This window comes from Homo sapiens, chromosome X (genome assembly GCF_000001405.40).
Source record: "Homo sapiens chromosome X, GRCh38.p14 Primary Assembly".
Classification (NCBI taxonomy): domain Eukaryota; kingdom Metazoa; phylum Chordata; class Mammalia; order Primates; family Hominidae; genus Homo; species Homo sapiens.
In genome coordinates this window covers 153,666,518-153,687,854 of record NC_000023.11, presented here as the reverse complement: position 1 = coordinate 153,687,854, position 21,337 = coordinate 153,666,518, and the positions used below count along the sequence as shown (strand labels likewise).

The 21,337-nt window shown below is 55.5% G+C and overlaps 1 protein-coding gene across 19 annotated transcripts, besides 4 other annotated features; it reads left to right on the top strand.

The window, feature by feature from the left end:
- PNCK (pregnancy up-regulated nonubiquitous CaM kinase) lies at positions 84-18,122 on the top strand. Of its 19 annotated transcripts, none has more exons than NM_001366975.1 (13): positions 84-565; positions 1,172-1,354; positions 14,777-14,846; positions 15,158-15,289; positions 15,655-15,729; positions 15,837-15,975; positions 16,183-16,306; positions 16,495-16,570; positions 16,665-16,777; positions 16,859-16,937; positions 17,024-17,111; positions 17,261-17,405; positions 17,725-18,122. In NM_001366975.1, exons 3-12 carry the CDS (start codon positions 14,779-14,781, stop codon positions 17,396-17,398), a joined length of 1,032 nt encoding a protein of 343 aa, NP_001353904.1. In that variant the 5' UTR covers positions 84-565; positions 1,172-1,354; positions 14,777-14,778; the 3' UTR covers positions 17,399-17,405; positions 17,725-18,122. The 19 variants fall into 19 exon arrangements, with proteins under 19 accessions (NP_001353904.1, XP_011529409.2, XP_047297792.1 ...); XM_047441836.1 differs by lacking the exon at positions 84-565 and adding an exon at positions 915-1,009; XM_047441839.1 differs by lacking the exons at positions 84-565; positions 1,172-1,354 and adding exons at positions 12,325-12,800; positions 13,001-13,223.
- Positions 16,833-17,088: a silencer, noted in NCBI's record as "fragment chrX:152936222-152936477 (GRCh37/hg19 assembly coordinates)". NCBI's record gives its function as "represses an EF-1alpha promoter that drives an FKBP-Casp9 reporter gene in an ReSE screen in HepG2 liver carcinoma cells {active_cell/tissue: HepG2}" and the evidence as "EXISTENCE:reporter gene assay evidence [ECO:0000049][PMID:32094911]".
- Positions 18,317-18,366: a silencer, noted in NCBI's record as "silent region_21068". NCBI's record gives its function as "represses an Ori minimal core promoter by ATAC-STARR-seq in GM12878 lymphoblastoid cells {active_cell/tissue: GM12878}" and the evidence as "EXISTENCE:reporter gene assay evidence [ECO:0000049][PMID:35858748]".
- Positions 19,576-20,075: an enhancer, noted in NCBI's record as "H3K4me1 hESC enhancer chrX:152933235-152933734 (GRCh37/hg19 assembly coordinates)". NCBI's record gives its function as "activates a minimal SCP1, AML or CMV promoter by ChIP-STARR-seq in naive H9 embryonic stem cells {active_cell/tissue: H9 hESC(naive)}" and the evidence as "EXISTENCE:reporter gene assay evidence [ECO:0000049][PMID:30033119]".
- Positions 20,076-20,577: an enhancer, noted in NCBI's record as "H3K4me1 hESC enhancer chrX:152932733-152933234 (GRCh37/hg19 assembly coordinates)". NCBI's record gives its function as "activates a minimal SCP1, AML or CMV promoter by ChIP-STARR-seq in naive H9 embryonic stem cells {active_cell/tissue: H9 hESC(naive)}" and the evidence as "EXISTENCE:reporter gene assay evidence [ECO:0000049][PMID:30033119]".

The window sequence follows — 21,337 nt, the reverse complement described above, 5'->3', positions numbered from 1 at the left end:
GGCCGGCCCCCCTCCCCCTCCCCCTCCCGCATCCCTCCCTCCCGCCCTCCTCGTCACACTCCGCCCACCTCCTCCCTGCCCTCCTCCCGGGGAGGAGACGCCGCTCCAGCGGGAGGCAGGATGGTTGCTACCTGGGGCGGCCGCCAGCTCCTCCCGCAGGGCTCCGGGCCGCCCCTCGCCCCAGGGTCGCCGGCTCCTAGTGCAGCCCAGGCTTCCCGGCCGGCCCCTCCCAGCCCTGGGAAGACGTCCCCCGGGCCCCCTCAGCCCTCCGCCTCCCCTTCTCTCCCTTTCTCCCCGCTCCTGGCAGGCTGCAGCCGTCTCCTCCCGGTGCTCCCTCCTTCCTTGAGCTCTCTCCACCGCTGCCCACTGGGGGCTACAGCTTCCCGGCTACCCTGGAAGCTGGAGGCCGGGACCAGCTCTTCAGGTGACAGGCCTCTGTGTCTCCACAGTGGGCAGAGGGGAGCCTGCCTGGCTGATGAGCAAGCCTCGACTTTGTCATCAAGGCAGAGAAGGGGCCCGGGTAAATGACCCCGGCGGCCCCCACCCCTGCCTGGCGTGAGAGTGGGTAGGGGCTTCGGACTTGAGGGGACTGGAGCGGGAACAAGGCAAGGCTGCCCCCTGGTGCCTGGCAGGTGCACAGACCCTTCCCCAAAGGCCTCAGGCCTGAGGTCCTGGCTGCCCGCCCCCCACCCACCCCGTGTTCCTCTCCCCAGGACCCCCCAGGCCTCCCTAGCAAGAGCCAGCTTGTTGGGCTGCCTCTCCGCCGCCAGCTGAGCAGCTTGTTTAGAATTTTCTAGGGCTAAGAGTAGCCTGGGGGTGGGGTGGGGAAGGAAGTGGTCATTGTCCTGGCCTGGGAGGTAAAGTGTGCCCCCCTCAGCTTCAAGCTCCCTGATCTGATCGTGGACACTGCAGTCCCCAGATGGCTCATCCCGTTAAGCTAAGCCCGCGGCCATCCGTCCAGCTTTAGGAAGAAAAGCAGTTCCGGCCCAAGCCAGATTGAGCTTGCTGGGTGAGGGAGGGACAGTGTCCCCACCCAGGCTTGGAGGAGGAGCCTCAAGGGGTGTGTGTGGTTGGGGGAGACAGGCGGTGTCACCTGTGCTTAGACCAGGGGTGGTGGGTGGGTACCCCTGAGGTGGCAAGGTCACACTGCTCATCAGAAGTTTCTCACTAGGGTCTTCTCTGGCCCAGCCTTTGACTGAAGCTGGTCTGGAGACAGGGGCATTAGAGAAGTGACTCATAGATGGCCTAAAGAAGCGGGGCCACTCAAGGACCCAGGACAGAGGGAAGAGGGCCAACCCAGCTGGACCACAGGCAAACCCCATTGCCTTTGAGAGAAAGAAGAGGACCCGGTGAAGTAGGCTCGGAGGGCCTCAGCCCAGCAGGAGTGCGGGGTGGGCGCGTGATGTCATCGAAGGGAGGACGGTGACCTGGGGGAGGGCCGCTTTGAGGGAGAGTGCAGGCCACGGCCAGACAGCTCTGGGAGCCGCGGGCAGGGGAGACTTTCAGATGTTGCTTGTCAAAGGGGTGGGGGTGGAAGGGAGAGAAAGCAGAGGCTCGAGAAGGATGTAGGAGAGCTGATGGCACTTTGGGGAAGTGACCACTGCTGCGGTTACTCCTCCGGTGGGTTCCGAGGCCAGGGACAGGATCATGAGGGAGTCGCCACCCCTGACTGCTGCTGCCTTTGTGAGATCAGAGGAGGCCGAGGCAGAGGGCGAGGTGGCCAGGCTGGAGGGTACTGGAGACAGAAGTGAAGGGTGGGGGGCTGTCCAGAATGGCTGCCACTGCTCCATGGACCCTCGGAGTGGGAGCCCCCACATCTGAGGGGAGGTCCAGTGGGCCCCCATACCTGACTCCCACGACCTCCTGGAACTGGGCTCTTCTCCAGGCAGCCACCCCTTCCCACACCCACCTTCTTCCCCGCCCTTTGCCAGCCCAGCCTGGGGTGCACCCACTACCAGCCCCTGGGCCAGGCCCTGCCTCCCGCCCCCAGCTGGTCTGGACCCCATAGTGACTGTGAACTCCTCCTCACGGCCTGGGCCAGACCCCAAACTGCATTCTCTGAGCAGCCAGAGGGACCCTCCTGAAGCACAAATCTGACCAGCCCCTCCTTTATCTCATCCCTTCTTTGGGCTTTTCTGTGCCCTGGAGGTAGAACTAAATTTTTCTCCAAGACTACGAGATGGAGTGTGATGGGGCTGTGCCCTCCCAGCCTCGGGGCGTTCCCCCTGAGTTTTCCCTCCACGCGGGGCCCACAGCCTGGGCTTCCCTTTCTCTGCTGACCTCCAGGACTCTGTCCCAGGAGGCTCCTGAGGGAGGTTCAGGAACCCTCCCCACGTCGGCCACCCTGGGAGCCGCCCCTGCCCAGCCAGGGCGAGCTGGGCCTCTTTGAGCAGTGCATGAAGTTCAGGCTGGTAAGGCTGGAGTTCCCGGCGGGGAGCTCCGGCCGGAGCTCTGGTCTCTGTCACAGGCTCTGACCCGGGCGGCCAGTGACAGGGTCTTCTGAGGCTGCTCCCACGAGCTGCTGAGCAGTTGGGGGAACAAAGGCAAAGCGATTTCCATCCCTGGCTGGGTCCTCTCCCACGTCCGAAGGCTTCAAAGCGTTCTCGGGCTTTGTCAAGGCGCGTCAGGCTCGGCCCGGGGGCAGCAGCTGCTGGGGAGGGGCAGGGTGGGCTCTCCAGGCCCCCAGCTGAGGGCCGGGTAGCTGTCCCCCGCCAGCCCTTTCCAAGCCTCCGCCTGTCTTGCCAGGCCCTTGTGTTCTACTCACTGAAGGGGGGTTCCGAGCATGTGCAGGAGGGGGTGGGGGTGCCCTGCGACCTGTGCCCAGCCCAGAGCTCCTATGGTGGCTTCTGGGTGAGAAGCAAACTGTTCTCTGGGGCAGAGGCGACCGGGGAGGGGCGGGGGGAGAGCTGCACCCTCCCCTTACCGTGTCCCAGGGAGTGGGCAGCCTTTCAGGCCCCAGCTGGGGCTGGGGGGTTGGAGTAGGAGCTGAGGAGGAGGGAGAGGGGAGGAGAAGGGGAGCTGGGGGGAGGGCAGGGGAGGGGGGCTAGCCGGAATGCTCCTGTTTGTTGGGGGAGGCCTGAGAATTGGAGCCAGCGCCCACTCAAGCCTAGGGCAGCTGCGGACCGGGGAGGGGCTGGGTGAGGGGCCACCGGGCCCTGGGGTGACTGGTTATCCTGGGAGGATGGGCAGCTGGAGACAGGATGGGGGCGCCTCCTCTTCTGAAGGCGAGCCGGGCACAATGAGCTTTGGAATTAGAATAAGCTGGGAACAAAGGGGGAGCCAGAGTCCACCTGGAAGGGCTTTGTACTTCCAGCTCCTGGGGAGGGGGCCGACGTGCGGCTGCAGCCAAGCGGAGAACAGAAAGAATGGGGCTGGGGGCGAGGGCCTGCAGCAGGGCAGGGATGGGGGGCAGCAGAACCCCCCACCCGCGCCCTTCCCACCAGCTGTGCTCGTTTACACAGACCCGCAGAAAGGAGGCTTTGCTTTGTTTTTTACATTTTATGTAAACTTTTATTAGGCTGGTTTTATTTGTTTTATAGATTGAGAGGGTACAAGCGCGGTTCTGTTACATGCATATATTCCGTGCAGACCCATCACCCTAAAGCTGCCTTGCAAAAACTGTAACAGTAACAAAATTCTGCCAGTGAGAGAGCTGATCTAACCAACCCTGTCTGCATTTACCCTCCAAACTGTTTTTGGTCTTTCCTGGGCATGGGCCAAGCTAACTTTGGGAGAAATTTCGTTTATAGTTTAAATGATAACAGACCTTCCCAAGATGAAACCGCCTTTGTAAAAGTAATGAAAGGCCATCAGGTGAGGAGGATGAGAGGGGCCTGAATTCTGCTAACATGGAAGCATTCATGATGACCAGCCATTGTTCAGAGCTCAAGAGATTTGTAACTTCTCCAATTACTCCTGTAGATAATGTCACTATTGTAGAACCTAAGGTTGGCTTTTTGAGACGTCTTTGCAGGTTTTTGCATTTCTCACTACCAGATGGCTCCACCCGGACCACATAGACCTATGACTCAAGGTCCTGTGGCCCTACCTAAAAGCAGACTCAGCTCAGCACACAAGAATCATCCCCCACCCAACCAGTCAGCAGCACCCATTCCCTAGCCCCCTGTCCGCCAAACTATCTTTAAAAAATCCTAGCTTTCGGGCTGGGTGCGGTGGCTCACACCTGTAATCCTAGCACTTTGGGAGGCCCAGGCGGGTGGGTCACTTGAGGTCAGGAGTTCAAGAGCAGCCTGGCCAACATGGTGAAACCCCTGTCTCTACTAAAAATACAAAAGTTAGCCGGAAATCGCTTGAACCCGGGAGGTGGAGGTTGCAGTGAGCCAAGATTGTGCCACTGCACTCCAGCCTGGGCAACAGAGTGAGACTCTGTCTCAAAAAAAAAACCTAGCCTTCAGGGCTGGGCACGGTGGCTCATGCCTGTAATCTCAACACTTTGGGAGGCCAACATGGGTGGATCACGAGGTCAGGAGATCAAGACCATCCAGGCTAACATGGTGAAGCCCCGTCTCTACTAAAAATACAAAAAATTAACCAGGTGTGGTGGCACGGGCCTGTAATCCCAGCTACTCAGGAGGCTGAGGCAGGAGAATCGCTTGAACCTGGGAGGCGGAGCTTGCAGTGAGCCTAGCTCATGCCACTGCACTCCAGCCTGGGCGACAGAGCGAGACTCCATCTCAAAAAAATAAAAAATAAATAAATAAATCCCAGCCTTCAAATTTTCAGGGCAGCTGATTTGAGTAATAATAAAACTCCAGTCTCCTCTACGTGTATTCAACTCTTTCTCGGCTGGGCCTGGTGACTCACACCTGTAATCCCAGCACTTTGGGAGGACCAGGTGGGCAGATTGTCTCACACGTCCATGTGAAGAGACTACCAAACAGGCTCTGTGTGAGCAACAAGGCTGTTTATTTTACCTGGGTGCAGGCAGGCTGAGTCCGAAAAGAGAGTCAGCAAAGGGTGATGGGATTATCATTAGTTCTTATAGGTTTTGGGATAGGCGCTGGAGTTAGGAGCAATGTTTTGTGGGCAGGAGGTGGATCTCACAAAGTACATTCTCAAGGGTGGGGAGAATTACAAATTACAAAGAACCTTCTCAAGGGTGAGGGAGATTACAAAGAACTTTCTTAAGGGTGGGGGAGATTACAAAGTACATCAGTTAGGGTGGGGCAGAAACAAATCACAATGGTGGAATGTCATCAGTTAAGGCTATTTTCACTTCTTTTGTGGATCTTCAGTTGCTTCAGGCCATCTGGATGTATATGTGCAGGTCACAGGGGATATGATGGCTTAGCTTGGGCTCAGAGGCCTGACACAGATCACTTGATCCCAGGGGTTCGAGACCAGCCTGGGCAACATAGCGAAACCTTGTCTCTACAAAAAATTTAAAAATTAGCTGGGGCGGTGACACGCACCTGTGCTCCCAGCTATGGGGAGGCTGAGGCAAGAGGATCACTTGAGCTCAAGAGGTCAAGGGTGCCGTGAGCCGTGATTGTACCACTGCACTCCAGCCTGAGAGACAGTGCGACACCCTGCCTCAAAACAAAACAGGCCGGTGCGGTGGCCCACACCTGTAATCCCAGCACTTTGTGAGGCCGAGGCAGGCAGATCACCTGAGGTCAGGAGTTAGAGACCAGCCTGGCCAACATGGTGAAACCCTGTCCCTACTAAAAATACAAAAATTAGCCAGACACGGTGGTGCGTGCCTGTAGTCCCAGTTACTCGGGAGGCTGGGGCTGGAGAATTGTTTGAACCCAGGAGGCGGAGGTTGCAGTGAGCTGAGATCGCGCCACTGCACTCCAGCCTGGGTGACAGAGCAAGACTCTGTCTCAAACAAACAAAACAAAACTTTATTGTAATTCCCCTGTCTTGATAAATTGGCTCTATCTATCTGGGCAGTGAGCAAAATGAACCCATTAGGTGGTTACAACCTGAATAGTGAACGTTGTACCCAATAGGTAATTTTTCAACCCTCACCTTCTAGACTAGTTTTAGATGTACAGAAAAACTGTAAAGAGGGTACCAAGAATTCCCATACAGCCCACCCCCATCTCCCGCCTTATTAGCCTCTTATGTTAGGACAGCTCATTTATTGCAATTAATGAATCAACATCAGTTATTGCAAACAATGAATCAACACTGTTAGTATCTAAAGCCCATAGTTTATTCAGGTTTTCTTGGCTTTTCCCTAATGTCCTTTTTCTGTCAGGATCACATGTTGCATTTAGTCATCCTGTCTCCTGAGGCTCCTCTTGGCTGTGACAGTTTCTCAGACTCCTTGTTCTTGGTGGCCCTAACAGCTTCGAGGAGGACTGGGCAGTGTGTTGTAAAACAACCTCTGTTGGGAAACTTTTGCTGTTTCCCATGATCAGGTGGGCCTCAGGGGTGATCAGGAGGAAGACCACGGGGGTGAAGCGCCTCATCGGGGGCCATGTAGACCTGGAACGACCGGCTGGGGTCCTGTTTGTCGGGTCTCTCCACTGGGAAGTGACTGTTCCCCCTTTCCATACCGTGCTCTTGGGAAGGAAGCCGCTCCGTGAGGCCCAGTTAGGGAGCGGGGCCACCTCCTGGAGGGGCAGTATCTACACAAGTAATGTTTTGTTCTGTGCAGGAGTGTTGTCTGTTCTCCCACATTTATTTATGTAATCATTTATTTATAACGGTATGGACTCATAGATGTGTACCTTATATTTGGTTTTAATCTAACACAACTCTTTATTTTCTTGCTCAAATTTTCCATCTTGGACCATTGGACTCTCTTTCGGTTGGCTCCTGTGTCCTTTGTCCTTTTTTTTTTTTTTTTTTTTTTGAGACAGGTTCTCACTCTGTTGCCCAGGCGGGCGGACAGTTGTGTGATCTCCGCTCACTGCAACCTCCGCCTCCTGGGCTAAAGCAATTCTCCCACTTCAGCCCCCCAAGTAGCTGGGACTACAGGCACCCACCACCACGCCCGGCTAATTTTTGTATTTTTTGGTAGAGACAGTTTCACCATGTTGGCCAGGCTGATCTCGAACTCTTGACCTCAGATGATCCACCCTCCTCGGCCTCCCAAAGTGCTGGGATTACAGGCATGAGCCACCGCGCCCAGCCCTGAAGGCTAGGTTTTTTTTTGAGACAGAGTCTCACTCTGTTGCCCAGGCTGGAGTGCAGTGGCACAATCTTGGCTCACTGCAACCTCCACCTCCCGGGTTCAAGTGATTCTCCTGCCTCAGCCTCCCAAGTAGCTGGGACTACAGCTCTTTATCTGTCATATGTGAGCCCGTTCTTGCATTGCTATAAAAAAAAAATCTGAGGCTGGGTAATTTATAAAGAAAAGTGGCTTATTTTGGCTCATGGTTCTGGAGACTATACAGGAAGTGTGGTGCCAGCATCTGCTTCTAGTGACACCCTCAGGAAGCTTCCATTCATGGTGGAAGGTGAAGAGGGAGCCGGCATATCCATGGCAAGAATGGGAGCAAGAGAGTGAGGGTGGAGGAGGTGCTAGACTCTTTCAAACAACCAGATCTCGTATGGACTCAGAGCAAGAACTCACTCATTATTGTGAGGACGGCACCACGCCATTCATGAGGGATCCACCGCCATGACCCAAAAACGTACCATTAGACGCCACCTTGAACATTGGGGATTATAGTTCAACATGAGATTTGGAGGGGACAGACATCCAAACCGTATCACATCACCACCACCCAACCAACACACATACATTTCAAAGTTGACACGTACAGGATTTCAGCAGATGTTTACACAGTTGCAAAGGGTGTAATTTCTTTTCTCTTTTCTTTTTGAGTTGTGCTATCACTCTCTGGTTGCCAGGGTGGAGTGCAGTGGCATGATCATGGCTCACTGCAGCCTCCAACTCCTGGACTCAAGTGATCCTGCTGCCTCAGCCTCCCAAGTAACTGAGACTATGGGTACACACCACCACACCCGGCTAATTTGTAAATTTTTTGAAGAAGATGGGGTCTTGGCAAGGTGCGGTGGCTCATGCCTGTAATCCCAGCACTTTGGGAGGCCGAGGCAGGTGGATCACCTGAGGTCAGGAGTTCGAGACCAGCCTGGCCAACATGGTGAAACCCTGCCTCTACTAAAAATACAAAAATTAGCTGGGCATGGTGACGGGTGCCTGTAATCCCAGCTACTCGGGAGGCTGAGGCAGGAGAATCGCTTGAACTCAGGAGGCAGAGGTTGCAGTGAGCTGAGATTGCACCACTGCACTCCAGCCTGGGCAACAGAATAAGACTGTGTCTCAAAAAAAAAAAAAAAAAAAAAAAGAAAAGAAAAGAAAAGAAAAATCCCAACTCAATAAGAAAACAACCCAATTTAAAAATGGGCAAAAGATCTGAACAGATGCCTCTCCAAAGAAGAAATACAAATGGCAAATAAGCATATCAGAAGATGTTTAACAGCATACATCTTTAGGGAATTGCAAATTAAAACCACAAGGAGATACCGCTGCATACCTACTAGATAGCCAAAATCCAAAACACTGACAACTCCTAATGCTGGCGAGGACCTGGAGCAGCAAGAACTCCCACTCATTGCTGGTGAGAATGTGACGAGGTACAGCCACCCTGAAAAGCGGTTGGCAGTTCCTTCCGAAGCTAAGTATACTCTTACCATACAATTCAGCAATCACACTCCTTGGTATTTACCCAAATGATTTGAAAACTTATGTCCACACAAAAACCACCCCACATATATTTATAGCAGCCTTTTTTTCCTTAAAGACCAGTGCGATAGTATTAGCAGCTTTATTCGTAATTGGCAAAAACTGGAAGCAATTAAGATGTTCCTCAGTAGGTGAACAAATAAAATGTGGTATATCTGGACAATGGAATACTAGTCAGTGATAAAGAGGGGAAAGCTATGAACCCATGCAAAGAAATAAGTTAATCTTAAATACATATTGCATAGTAAAAAGCCTGACAAAGCTACCTACTCTATGACTCCATTTACCTGACATTCCGGAAAAAGCAAAATAGATTAAAAAAAAAAAAAAAAAGACAGAAAACGGATCCATGGTTGCCAGGGGTCTGAGAGAGGGGATCGTGCTTGGTAGGCGCAGCACAGGGATTCTGTAGCACAGGGAAACTGTTCTGTATGATGCTGTAATGGTGGACACGTGACACTCTGAATATGTCAAAACCCATAGAACTTTACAGCAGACAGAGGGAACTTAAAATAGGCATCTGTCAGACTAAGAGCAAAAGGAAGAACACATAAGCGCCGCACTCTAATTGATAAGATCACCCCCCACCAGGGTAGAGGTGAATGATTCTGCAACCTCTCCACCTTTATACCGGAATTCAAGAACTACGGCAATGGATGGAAGACGGTGGGAGCCAGGTTTCTCACTTTAATTTTAATTTTTAATTTTATTTTTAGAGACAGGATCTTGCTGTGTGGCCCAGGCTGGAGTGCAGTGGCACAATCATGGCTCACTGTAGCCTTGACCTCCTAGGCTCAAGAGATCCTCCTAACTCAGCCTCCCGAGTAGGTGGGACCACAGGCATGCACCACCATGCCTGGCTAATTTTTCATATTTCTGGTAGATTTGGGGTTTCACCATGTTGGCCACGCTTGTCTTGAACTCCAGATCTCAGATGATCCATCTGCCTCAGCCTCCCAAAGTGCTGGGGTTACAGGCATGAGCCACCGTGCCTGGCCTGGGTTTCTCACTTTTAGAGTGGGAGGTTATAGACAAGCAAGGGCAGGCAGCTAGAATGACCCAGGTGGTGATGGATTAGAGTTGGAGACATCAGTGTGCACTCCTGTTGAGTTTAATATAGATACTGATGCGCGTGTGTATCTGTTTATAGATGTTATGTTAGTAACATAACATGGGTTGGTATATATATTAAATGGGTATTATATGGGCTTGTATATCTATCTATCTATATGTACATGGGTTAGTGTATATATATACACTATATATACTACATATCTATCTATATGTACATGGGTTAGTGTATATATACACACTATATACAGACTATATATACACTATATACACTATATATATACATACACACTATATATACACACACTATATACACACTATATATATACACACTATATATACACACTATATATACACACTATATATACACTATATATATGCACTATATATATACACACACTATATATACACTATATATACACACTATATATATATACACACTATATATATACACTATATATATACACACTATATATATACACTATATATATACACACTATATATATATATACACTATATATACACACTATATATACACACTATATATATATACACACTATGTATATATATGTATATACACACACACACTATAAGTTCTTGCTGTCAGTGGAGAGGGCCTAGAAGCAGCAATACTCCAGGAACAATGGGCACACCTAGCGCCCAGATCTTCGTCTCCAACACCATTCTCTCAAAAATGGCTCCTTAGAGAAAACGGCTGCTTCTAGGACCGGTTCAGGAAATATAAGGGATGAGCACAGAGCCAGAAAGTAAGGAAGGGCTCACAGAGACAGACACGCCCACACCTACACGGGCATGCACACACACATGCAGTGATGAACGGACATCAAAAGGACACAGGTGGCTGGGCGCGGTGGCTCACGCCTGTAATCCCAGCACTTTGGGAGGCCGAGGAGGGTGGATCATCTGAGGTCAGGAGTTCGAGATCAGCCTGCCAACATGGTGAAACTGTCTCTACCCAAAAATACAAAAATTAGCCCAGCGTGGTGGCGGGTGCCTGTAGTCCCAGCTACTTGGGAGGCTGAAGTGGGAGAATCGCTTGAGCCCAGGAGGCGGAGGTCGTAGTGAGCGGAGATCACACAATTGCCTGCCAGCCTGGGTGACAAGACTGAGACTCCATGTTAGAAATGTTTGTTCCCCGGTGGCACAAAGAAATAGCACTTGAACATAAATTTAATTTTCTTTTTCTTTCTTTCTTTCTTTTTTTTTTTTTTTGAGATGAAGTCTCACTCTTGTGCCCCAGGCTGGGGTGCAATGGCACGATCTTGGCTCACTGCAACCTCCACCTCCCAGGTTCAAGCTATTCTCCTGCCTCAGACTCCCAAGTAGTTGGGATTACAGGCGTGAGCCACCATGCCCGGCTAATTTTTACATTTTTAGTAGAGACGGGGTTTCACCATGTTGGCCAGGCTGGTGTCGAACTCCTGACCTCAGGTGATTTGCCCACCTTGGCCTCCCAAACTGCTAGGATTACAGGCATGAGCCACCACACCCGGCATAAGTTTAATCTCCTTAGCAAGGCCATTTTTTAACTTTCTGCGGAAAGGGTACACTCGCCAGCAGTTTTGCCACATGAGTACACCAAACAAAGGAGGGAAGCAATTTTTATTCCTTATGCCGTTTGTCCTTGCTACTGTGTCCTGTTTCCATTGGCTGCAGCCAGACCTCACAATCTAACCTAAAACCCGATTGGCTAGTAGTTTAAAACTTTTGAAAATAGATAAAAGTAATGGAAGGATAAAGGAAAAGAGGAAGTTGCTTACGAAACGGCTTAGAAAAGTAATAATATTCCCCAATAGGAAAGGGAGATAGGCTGCGAGCTGGGACATGCCTGTGAGCACGTCCAGCACAGATATCTTGGTTAAAGTACAAGGACATAGAATGTACTACGTGCCTGTAAGCATGTTTAACAGCTACATAGGATAGGGCTTAACAAAGAGTTATTAGCACAAAGCAAGGAGGCTTGAAGGAAGTTAGTCTTTAAAAGAAACTATTATTTCTAAACTTATGATTTATTTTTTAATAAGAAGGGAAACTTTGAAGAGGAACTTTTTACTTTCTACACTCCATCTCAAAAAAAAAAAAAAAAAAAGAAAAGAAAAAAAAGAAAAGAAAAGCTATGTTGCCCAGGCTAGGCTGGAACTCCTGGGCTCAAGTGATCCTCCAGCCTCAGCCTCCTGAAGTGCTGGGATTACAGGCATAAGCCACCTTGCCAGGCCGGAGGGTGTAATTTCTCTTGTAAACACACAATATAGGCCTGGTGCGGTGGCTCACGCCTGTAATCCCAGCACTTTGGGATGCTGAGGCAGGCAGATCACCTGAGGTCAGGAGTTCGAGACCAGCCTGGCCAACATGGTAAAACCCTGCCTCTACTAAAAATACAAAAATTAGCTTGGTGTGGTGGCATGCACCTGTAGTCCCAGCTACTCGAGGCTGAGGCGGGAGAATTGCTTGAACCCAGGAGGCAGAGGCTGCAGTGAGCTGAGATGGCACTACTGCACTCCAGCCTGGGCGACAGTGAGACCCTGTCTCAAACAACAACAACAATAACAAACCAAAAAAAACCCCATGATACAATGATTCAAACAAAAACTGTGCCATCAGCTTTTACATGAGGCCAGGGCCACCTGAGTCACCTCGTGGACCAATACCTGCCCGCTGGCTCGTCTTTCCCAGGCCCACTTTGGAGGTGGGTGCTTTCCTTCTGGCCTCCAGTTTCCATCTGCTGCCCCTCAGATAGGTCTCTTTGTGCCATCTCTTTCCACGCGGGCAGTTTTTTATTACTTTTCTGGGGCACAGAAATATGTGTATTTCTATTTCTTTTTATAACCCAGGACCATGTTGTAGAACTCTGCTTGGGCAAAGCACCATTGGCGTATTAGACATTCTGGGGAACTATCTGTAGGTATCTGTAAACAAATTGCACTTCCTGCTGTCATGAGAAGGGGCTCACCATCAGTTCCATTCCTATTTTTTTCTGTTTTAGATGTCGGTCCCAGGAAACCATTTTCACATAGAGGAGCAGGTGGGACTGGAGTTTCTGAGTGCTGGGGTCCCTGGAGCCTTCTGCAGTGTCCTGGGAGGGGTGACTGGGAAAGGCCAGGGGGCAAGAGCTGCTAGGGGCCTTCTCAGATTTCCCAGTTTTTACACAGAGTATATATGGGAGTTGAGGTCTGGAAAAATGATTTTTTAAAAACTCTTCCTGCCCCGTGGACTCTCTTGAAGACGTCGTGTCATGCCAGGGCCCACGGTCACTTGACGGAACCCTTGTGATGCTGGCCACAACCTCATGGGACTGGATGGCGAGCAGCGAGGGGGGTCCAGTAACTGTTGGATGCAGGATTGAATTCGGTCACCCGCACTTATTTCCTGGGCTCGTCTTGGTTGGGTTCGCGGAGATACACTCTCTGGGAGCGGACGCTTTGGTGAGGAAGACCAGGCGAAGAAGGTGATTTTTGCGGTTGGACGTTCTAAAGACAGGGCAGGGTTATGCGGAGAGAATTGGCAGGGGCAGGGCGGGGGAGGCCGGTTTGAGGAGGGGACATTTGAGCCGAGATCTGATGGAACGAGGAGCCAAGCCAGGCAGATATCTGATCGAAGAACATTCCAGGCAGGGGAGCAAAGGCTAGGGCCGTCAGGAGGCCAGTGTGGCCGGGGAAGAGGTGGAGGAGGAGGGGCCAGGGCAGTCGTTAGGCCGCCCCCTAAGGACTCATGCTTTGACTTGGATTGACATAGAGAGCTGCAGGAGGGTGACATGATCTCAATAAAAGGAATGCTCTGGCTGCTGGGTAGAGAAGAAAGCGAGGGTGAGGGATTAATGGTGGAGCCAGAGGGAGCCCAGTGAGTGCCGGGAGCCCAGGGTGGCAGAGCTGTGGTGCAGGGTTGCAGGGTCCTGGAGCTAGGCATGGAGGCTGCTTTCGGGCAAGTGGCCGGGTCAGCCTGTCCTCGGAGAGGCGGTGAAGGCAGAGACTGGAAGGCAGAGAGCCTTGCCGACCTGTGGCCGAAGAGCTCTCCGGGAGACAGCCACCGGTGGTGCAAAGGCCCTGGGGCCGGCCCAGCCGGGCCGCAGCTCCGGGAGGCGGCGCGAGCGAGCAGTGGGCTGGGCGGTGGCGGCCGGCACCCGAGCCGGATCCCGGCGATTGCCTTACAAGGTGCCCTGCGGCGCCGCGGCCGCGCTGGGCCACTGCGTGCTTGGGCGGCTGGCGGGGGCGTGCGCGGAGGGGGCGGGGCCGGCGGGGCGCGGGCGGGGGGCTTGGCGCTGCGGCCACTGCGCGGCACGACGCTGCGGCACCCGCTCCAGGTCTGCACCTGCTCCGGGGCGCGGGGACGCGCGGGGCGGGGGCGCACCGGATCCGGCCCGCGGCCGCCGCAGCCTTGCGCGTCCGCAGCACACCTGTCACGCCTGGCGCGCCCCCTGCCCGCACGCGCTCGGTCCACGCAGCTCGGGACGCGGGCGGCCCAGGCTGCCAGGTCCCCCTGCTCCGCGGCGCCGAGGGCTGGGCTGCGTCTGCGGCCGCGTGGGTGGCCGCGGTCTTGGCAGGTGGCTGCGCGCGGGGGTCGCAGGTGCATCCCGGGCGGCTTGGTGGCTTGGGCAGCGGGTGCCTGTGGGCGCTGTGCCATGGGTGGCGGGTCTAGGCGGGGGTGGGGGCTTGGGCGCTGTAGATGTGTGGATGGGGGAGGGACGGCGTGGGTGAGCATGGAGCCTTCTGGAAAGCGGCCGGATGTGTGGAGGCAGAGAGGCAGCATCCAGGCGCTGGTCGCCTTCGGGGTGCGGGGGAGGGTGCGTGGGATAGCAGCTGTAGGCCTGGGATGTGGAGGCGTGTATGCGGTGGCCTCGCTGGGAGGCGTCCGTCTGGGGGTGTGGACCTGGACGGGGGAGGGGAGGGTCGAGCGCGCAGCGGCAATGGCTGAGGCCTGCCTGGCAGGGGGTGGAGGAGGAAGCTGCCCTTGCCCCCGGCGGGGCGGGGAGAGACCCCCATCACCTCTCCCCTGCCCCTGCAGACATGCTGCTGCTGAAGAAACACACGGAGGACATCAGCAGCGTCTACGAGATCCGCGAGAGGCTCGGCTCGTGAGTGTGCGCGCGCGTGTGTGATCGTGTGTGTGTGTGTGTGTGTGTGTGTGTACCTGTGTGAGATGGCATGTGTGTGTGACTACGCGAGTGGGTGTGAGATGATGTGTGTGTGTGTGAATATGTAGGGGTGTGTGAATGTGAGTGAGTCTGTGAGATGGCATGTGTGAGTGGTGGTGGGGGGTGGCACAGGGCCAGGTAGGGCCTCCCCATCTCCTTCACAGGGGGCCCTCCCCGCTCCACTCTCTCTCCCTCCTGCCTCTCCTCTCTTCCCACTTCCTTCCCACCTCCCACCGCCCCGTCTGCGGCAGGGGTGCCTTCTCCGAGGTGGTGCTGGCCCAGGAGCGGGGCTCCGCACACCTCGTGGCCCTCAAGTGCATCCCCAAGAAGGCCCTCCGGGGCAAGGAGGCCCTGGTGGAGAACGAGATCGCAGTGCTCCGTAGGTGCGCACCTCGCGGGGCCCTGGGACGGGGCATAGGTCGATGGGGGGGTGCAAGCAGTCCTTGGCTCTAGTCCAGGCCTGGCCACCAACCTTTGGGAGGCCTGGGGCAGTGCTCTCTCTGGGCCTGCACATCCCTGTGGCAAAGGGAGTGAGTTGATATTGATCTGTGCTTTTCAAATGGGCTTTAGAAGGAAGGCCGGGGCTCAGGCTGGAGCTCTGCCTTCCTGGACCGGGCAGGGGTGGCATGTGGTAGGGAATGGGGAGCAGAGGTGGGAGGAAGAGAAGAGGGAGGAGGCTTTCCCCAGGGCCTCAGGACAGAGCACCCCTTGACTCTGTTGGCCCACAGGCGCTTCCTTGCCATTGCAGGATCAGTCACCCCAACATCGTCGCTCTGGAGGATGTCCACGAGAGCCCTTCCCACCTCTACCTGGCCATGGAACTGTGAGGAGGGCCTGGGCAGGCTGTGGGAGCCGGGGAGGGACTGAGCAGTGAGTGGGGCTGAAGGCCAGGCTGAGTGCCTGGGTCAGCCAAACCCCTGGCACCCCCAGGGTGACGGGTGGCGAGCTGTTTGACCGCATCATGGAGCGCGGCTCCTACACAGAGAAGGATGCCAGCCATCTGGTGGGTCAGGTCCTTGGCGCCGTCTCCTACCTGCACAGCCTGGGGATCGTGCACCGGGACCTCAAGGTGCCTGGCTGGGGCCTCTGCACCCCACCCTCCCACCTGCCCACCTGGCCCTGCCTTTGTTTTCCCGGGAGCACGGCTGGGGCCTTTCTTGATCTCCTGCTCCACCAAGGCTCTGGGGAACCTGAGAGTGCCTAGTCCCCATCCTGTCCCAGCACCGGCACCGCGTCAGGACTGACTGGCCCTTTTCCCGGTGTCCGTGTGTCACAGCCCGAAAACCTCCTGTATGCCACGCCCTTTGAGGACTCGAAGATCATGGTCTCTGACTTTGGACTCTCCAAAATCCAGGCTGGGAACATGCTAGGCACCGCCTGTGGGACCCCTGGATATGTGGGTGAGGGACGACACCCTGAGGCTTGCTGGGAGTGGGGTGGCCTGGGGGACCCTAGACAGCCGGGAAGGCTGTTGTGCCCGTTGCCTTTGTGTGGGCCATTCCTGGGCTTGAGTAGGCCGAGCCAGTGACACTGAGCGGCATGGCTGCGTGTGTGCCTGTGCGTGCGTCTGTCTGTCTCTGGCCCCCAGCCCCAGAGCTCTTGGAGCAGAAACCCTACGGGAAGGCCGTAGATGTGTGGGCCCTGGGCGTCATCTCCTACATCCTGTGAGTGACCGCTGGGAAGGCTTGTCTCCTGCCTGCCTGCCCCTGCTGGGTTGGGGAGGGTGGGACAGCTGGATGATTCATCTGTGGGTGCCAGGCTGTGTGGGTACCCCCCCTTCTACGACGAGAGCGACCCTGAGCTCTTCAGCCAGATCCTGAGGGCCAGCTATGAGTTTGACTCTCCTTTCTGGGATGACATCTCAGAATCAGGTGAGCTTGAGGCTGGCCCGTGCTTGGAGGTGATGCAAGGGAGTGGGGACCTGACAGGCTGACCCAGCCTCCCTGTTCCAGCCAAAGACTTCATCCGGCACCTTCTGGAGCGAGACCCCCAGAAGAGGTTCACCTGCCAACAGGCCTTGCGGCACCTTTGGTGAGTGGGAGCCCTGCTGAGCTGCCCCAGGGCCAGGGGGCCTGCATTTGCAGAGAGACCCCCCCTGACCTTCAGCCTTTCCCCAGGATCTCTGGGGACACAGCCTTCGACAGGGACATCTTAGGCTCTGTCAGTGAGCAGATCCGGAAGAACTTTGCTCGGACACACTGGAAGGTCAGTGTGGAGAGAGACCCAGTGTGGTCGCCCGCCGCACCCCAGCTGTAGCCTGATCGCCGTGGCTGCCCAGTGACCACTGCAGTCCTCACAGTCTAGGGGCTGGGGCCTGGGCCCAGGCCTGGCCTGATCTCCCTCTCTTCTGGCAGCGAGCCTTCAATGCCACCTCGTTCCTGCGCCACATCCGGAAGCTGGGGCAGATCCCAGAGGGCGAGGGGGCCTCTGAGCAGGGCATGGCCCGCCACAGCCACTCAGGCCTCCGTGCTGGCCAGCCCCCCAAGTGGTGATGCCCAGGTGTGTTTGGGTGGACCCTGCACGCCCAGGAGCTGGCTCCTTGGAGAGCTTAGAGGGTGGTGGCGCTCCATGTGGCCAAGAGCTAAGTGGGGTGGCCCCCACAGGCCAGAGGACTGAAGGCAGAGAGCAGAGGGAGGAGCCAGGGCCCCAGGAGAGGTGGAAGGACAGGGAGGGCCAGTGGGTGCTTGACATTGGGCAAGGGGGTGCAGGGGGAGAGGGCCTCTAAGAAGTCCGGGATTTGACCGAGGCGGGGGGTGGGGGCACAGGGCTGGCAGGCCGGCTCCTGACTACCCCCTTTCCCTCTGCTTCTCCCTCTCAGGCAGATGCCGAGGCCAAGTGGACTGACCCCCAGATTTCCTTCCCTTGGATGCTTTCGGTCCCCTCCCCCAACCCCTCCCCCTGGGGCTGGCCTCTGCTGGATTTTGAGATTTGAGGGTGTGGCGCATGGCGCTGGGGTTGGAATGGGGCACCCCCAAGTCTGTCCCCAGGCTCTGCCCTGCCTGGGGGCAGTGGCTCCCCTCCCCTGTTGCCTCTCCCGCCCCTGCCCCCCCCGCCCCGCCAAAAGCCGAGGGGGTGCTGGCAGGCGGGCCTCAGGGGCTGTCTTTCCTGCACGGCTGTTGTGTGCTTCGCTGAGTGTGGGTGGTCCTGCTTGTGTCATGGTCATGGCCTTCCAGCCCCCTCCAGTTTTCCCCAAACCAATAAAGAAAGATACAGCAATGGGCCAGTGGTGACCTGGGGGTGCGGCGAGTGTGGAGGGGACCTGGTCACTTGTGGGAAGGAAACCAATGAGAGCCTGCCACACGGCTTCGCCCACTGCCACCTGAACCTCTGCTTCCCCAGACAAGTTTCCAACTGTCCAAAAACTTCCTGTCCCCTCCCCCCAAAGCACCAACAAGTGGCAGCGTGGCCGGGCAGCTCTGCCACCCCAGAGGTGTAACTGCCCAGCCTTGGGGTCCTGGGACAAAGTGGAGGCAGCGCACGCCTGCTGGGCTGCCAGCAGGGGGCGCAGTCAGGAGGCTGAGTGCTGGCTCCAGACCCCCAGGGATGTGCTCCAGTGCCCCTGCCATGCAGGGCCGGGCCTGGGGTGCCTCAGCCAGGTGCCTGGGACTGGGAAGGGCTCACAGGTGCATGGAGGGCGACCAGAGCCCAGGACTGTCACCTTCCATCCCTCCCTCCCTTCCCTTTCTTGATGGCCAGAGGCCATCTTGTCGAGCAGAAGAGTAGGGGACCCCAGGGTCAGGGGGTGAGAGGAGCTCCTTGTCCAGGAGAGGGCGACACAGGGCCCTCTTCCCCTCTGCTGTGCGGGGGCTTTGGAACCCTCAGGCTCCAGGCTGGGGTAGACCTGGGCTGGCAGCTGGGGCTCTGGGAGCAGTGGCAGCTTGGCGGTGGCTTCTGAAGTGGAGAGCCGTGGCCTGTCCTCTGGTCTGAGTGGCCCCAGCCCCACCAACCTCCATTTTGGAGGGGCCAGGGCTCCAGAGCCCTGCCTTGCTGGGTCCCAAAGCTCTGCTGGCCCCTCTAGGCCTTTCTCTTGGGCCCATCAGGGGAAGACCCCTAGAGCCACTTCTTGGCCCCAGCGAGAGTTCCAGGCAAGCTGGCCACCCCTCCCTCCACTCTGAGACCCTTGCTCCCTGCCAGCCCTCAGAGTGTAAGCCTGATGACCCATGGCTTGACTGGCGAGAATGGTAGAGAAGATCACTCTCCTTGTTGAACTTTGGGCCCCAAAGGGAGGCGGTGAGGCTCAAACCAAGGCTGGCCTGGGTCTTGTGGGTGAAGGCTGGAGTGGGGTTCAGGGTTGGAGCCAGGGGACCTGGCTTCCACCAGGGAGAGCAGGCTGGAGGTGGGTGGGCAGCCTCCTCCTCCATCCCCACAGCCGCTCCCAGGCCATCCTTCGCTCCAGGCTTTGGGCCCCACAGGGGACCTCAGTCAGCCAGTACCACGGCTTCCTCGCCTCCAAGACCTGTCCCACCTGCCCTCACCCCTACGTGGGGCCTTGTTGCCTGTGGGCACCCCTGCTGTGGGCCCCCCTTCCCATCTTCTCTGTTGTTCACACTGGACTCCCACGATACCTACTTGCTGTTGTTTTGGTCAGATGTTGACTGAGCCTCTACTCTGGGCCAGGTGCTGGGCACTGACCTGGGCCTATCAGAAGAGGCGCCTGCCCTCCAGGAGGACGCCCTCTATTGGAGGGGTGGTTTTACGGGGATGATAAAAATGATCTTTGTGGGTCTGGGAGCAATGAGCAGGAGTGCCAGAGCCAGCCTTACAGAAGAAACCGGCACTCGCTCAGAACAGCCAGCTCTTCCAGTCCAGGCACGTGGCCAGATCGCTTCGGCTTGGAGCTTAAGCCAGCTCTGGGCTGCCTTGACACAGGGTGCAATATGGCCTCCCGTCAGCAGGGGGAGCCACGGCCCCATCTTTAGACGTCCATTAGCCTCCCTAGTTCCTTCAGCACCCTGGGCAGCCTCTCAAATCCATTCCTCTCCGCGACTGCCCCTACCCCACACCCTGCAAATCCTGCCTTGGGGAAGTCCAACCTTGGGGGAGAGGTCCTGCCCATCTGTGATAGGGGCGAGAGGGGGAACCCCCAGGTCAAGCAGAGGCGGCACCCCTCCTTCATCCCTCCGAGACCGCATATGAGGAAGGCAGTTTGGGTCACCTAGGCAGTGGGATGGCAGCCTGGGAGAGAGAAAGGACTGGTTTAGCCAAAGGCAAAAGGTGGTGTGTGTGTGTGAAGTGATGGCAAGGGAGCTGTGCTGGACACTGTGAGGGCTTCTCAGGCTCAGGGCTGGTGCTGAGGCTGGCAGCAAGAGGAACGGGCCAGACCAAGCCTGGCAGGGGAAGGAGCTGGAGCTGTAGTCTAGGAGCAGTGGGGAGCCATCGAAGGGGTTTGTAGCCAGAGAGCATCCTTGCCCAGTGTGGGTTAGGTGCTGAGCCGGGGCCGGCTGCTAGGAATTGGGGTGTCTGGAACCAGACCAGAATTGAGGGTCAGGGGAACCCTGGTGGGCATCACAAAAGGAAGCTGTCTCTGCTGTTCTGGGCCACACAGGGTGGGTCACGTGCTCTATCTTGAAGCAAACCTGTGGGTAGCGGAGTTTCAAGGGAAGCTCAACCTGTGGGTCCACCCTAGGGACAGGGAGACACGGAGGTGGTCCTAGGAGCTCTTTGGGAGTCATGTGGACAGGTCTTGGTGATGGGTTGCAGGTGGGGAATGAAGCGGGGGGATCCAGGTAGATCATGTTTCTGGCAGCAGAACATTCATCAAGAAGAGTTCAACGGGCATTACTTTGGGGGAGGAGTAATGAGATTGATTCTGGATGTGGTGAGTTCGAGGTGCCTGACGGGCATGAAAGTAGACTTACTTTTCACCCTTCTCTTTGCAAATATGTATCTAGCATTGTATCTGGTATTTCTGGAAGGCTTATTCCTTTTAATAAAAAGAACACTGATCCCTCGAGCCCAGGAGTTCGAGACTAGCCTGGGTAAGATGGCGAGAACCCACCTTTACAAAAAAAAAAAAAAAAAAAAAGCATGCTAGTAACGACTCTTTATTGAAGAGCTTTCCATGTATTAACTTGAACCTCACCTGTGAGATAGCTGCTATCATGATCATCATCCCCACTTCACATATGGAGAAACTGAGGCATACAGAGGCTAAGTGAGCCAAAGCCATACAGCTTGTGGCACAGTGAGGATTTGAACCCACACTCTGCCACTGCATCCTCTTGCTTGCATCCATGCAAGCGAGGTCTTGCTTGGGACATGATTGTGTGGGGAATTGAAGAAAACAAGGCGGCATTCTTTCCCCACTTCTCTTTGTGAATGCAAACTCTGTGTGTCTGAAGGAAAGAGAACCCTGGGCTGGGGGAACCCACGCTGGATTTGAGTTGGGGTCTTGCAGATGGTTTGTGTTGCCATTTTTTTTTTTTTTTTTA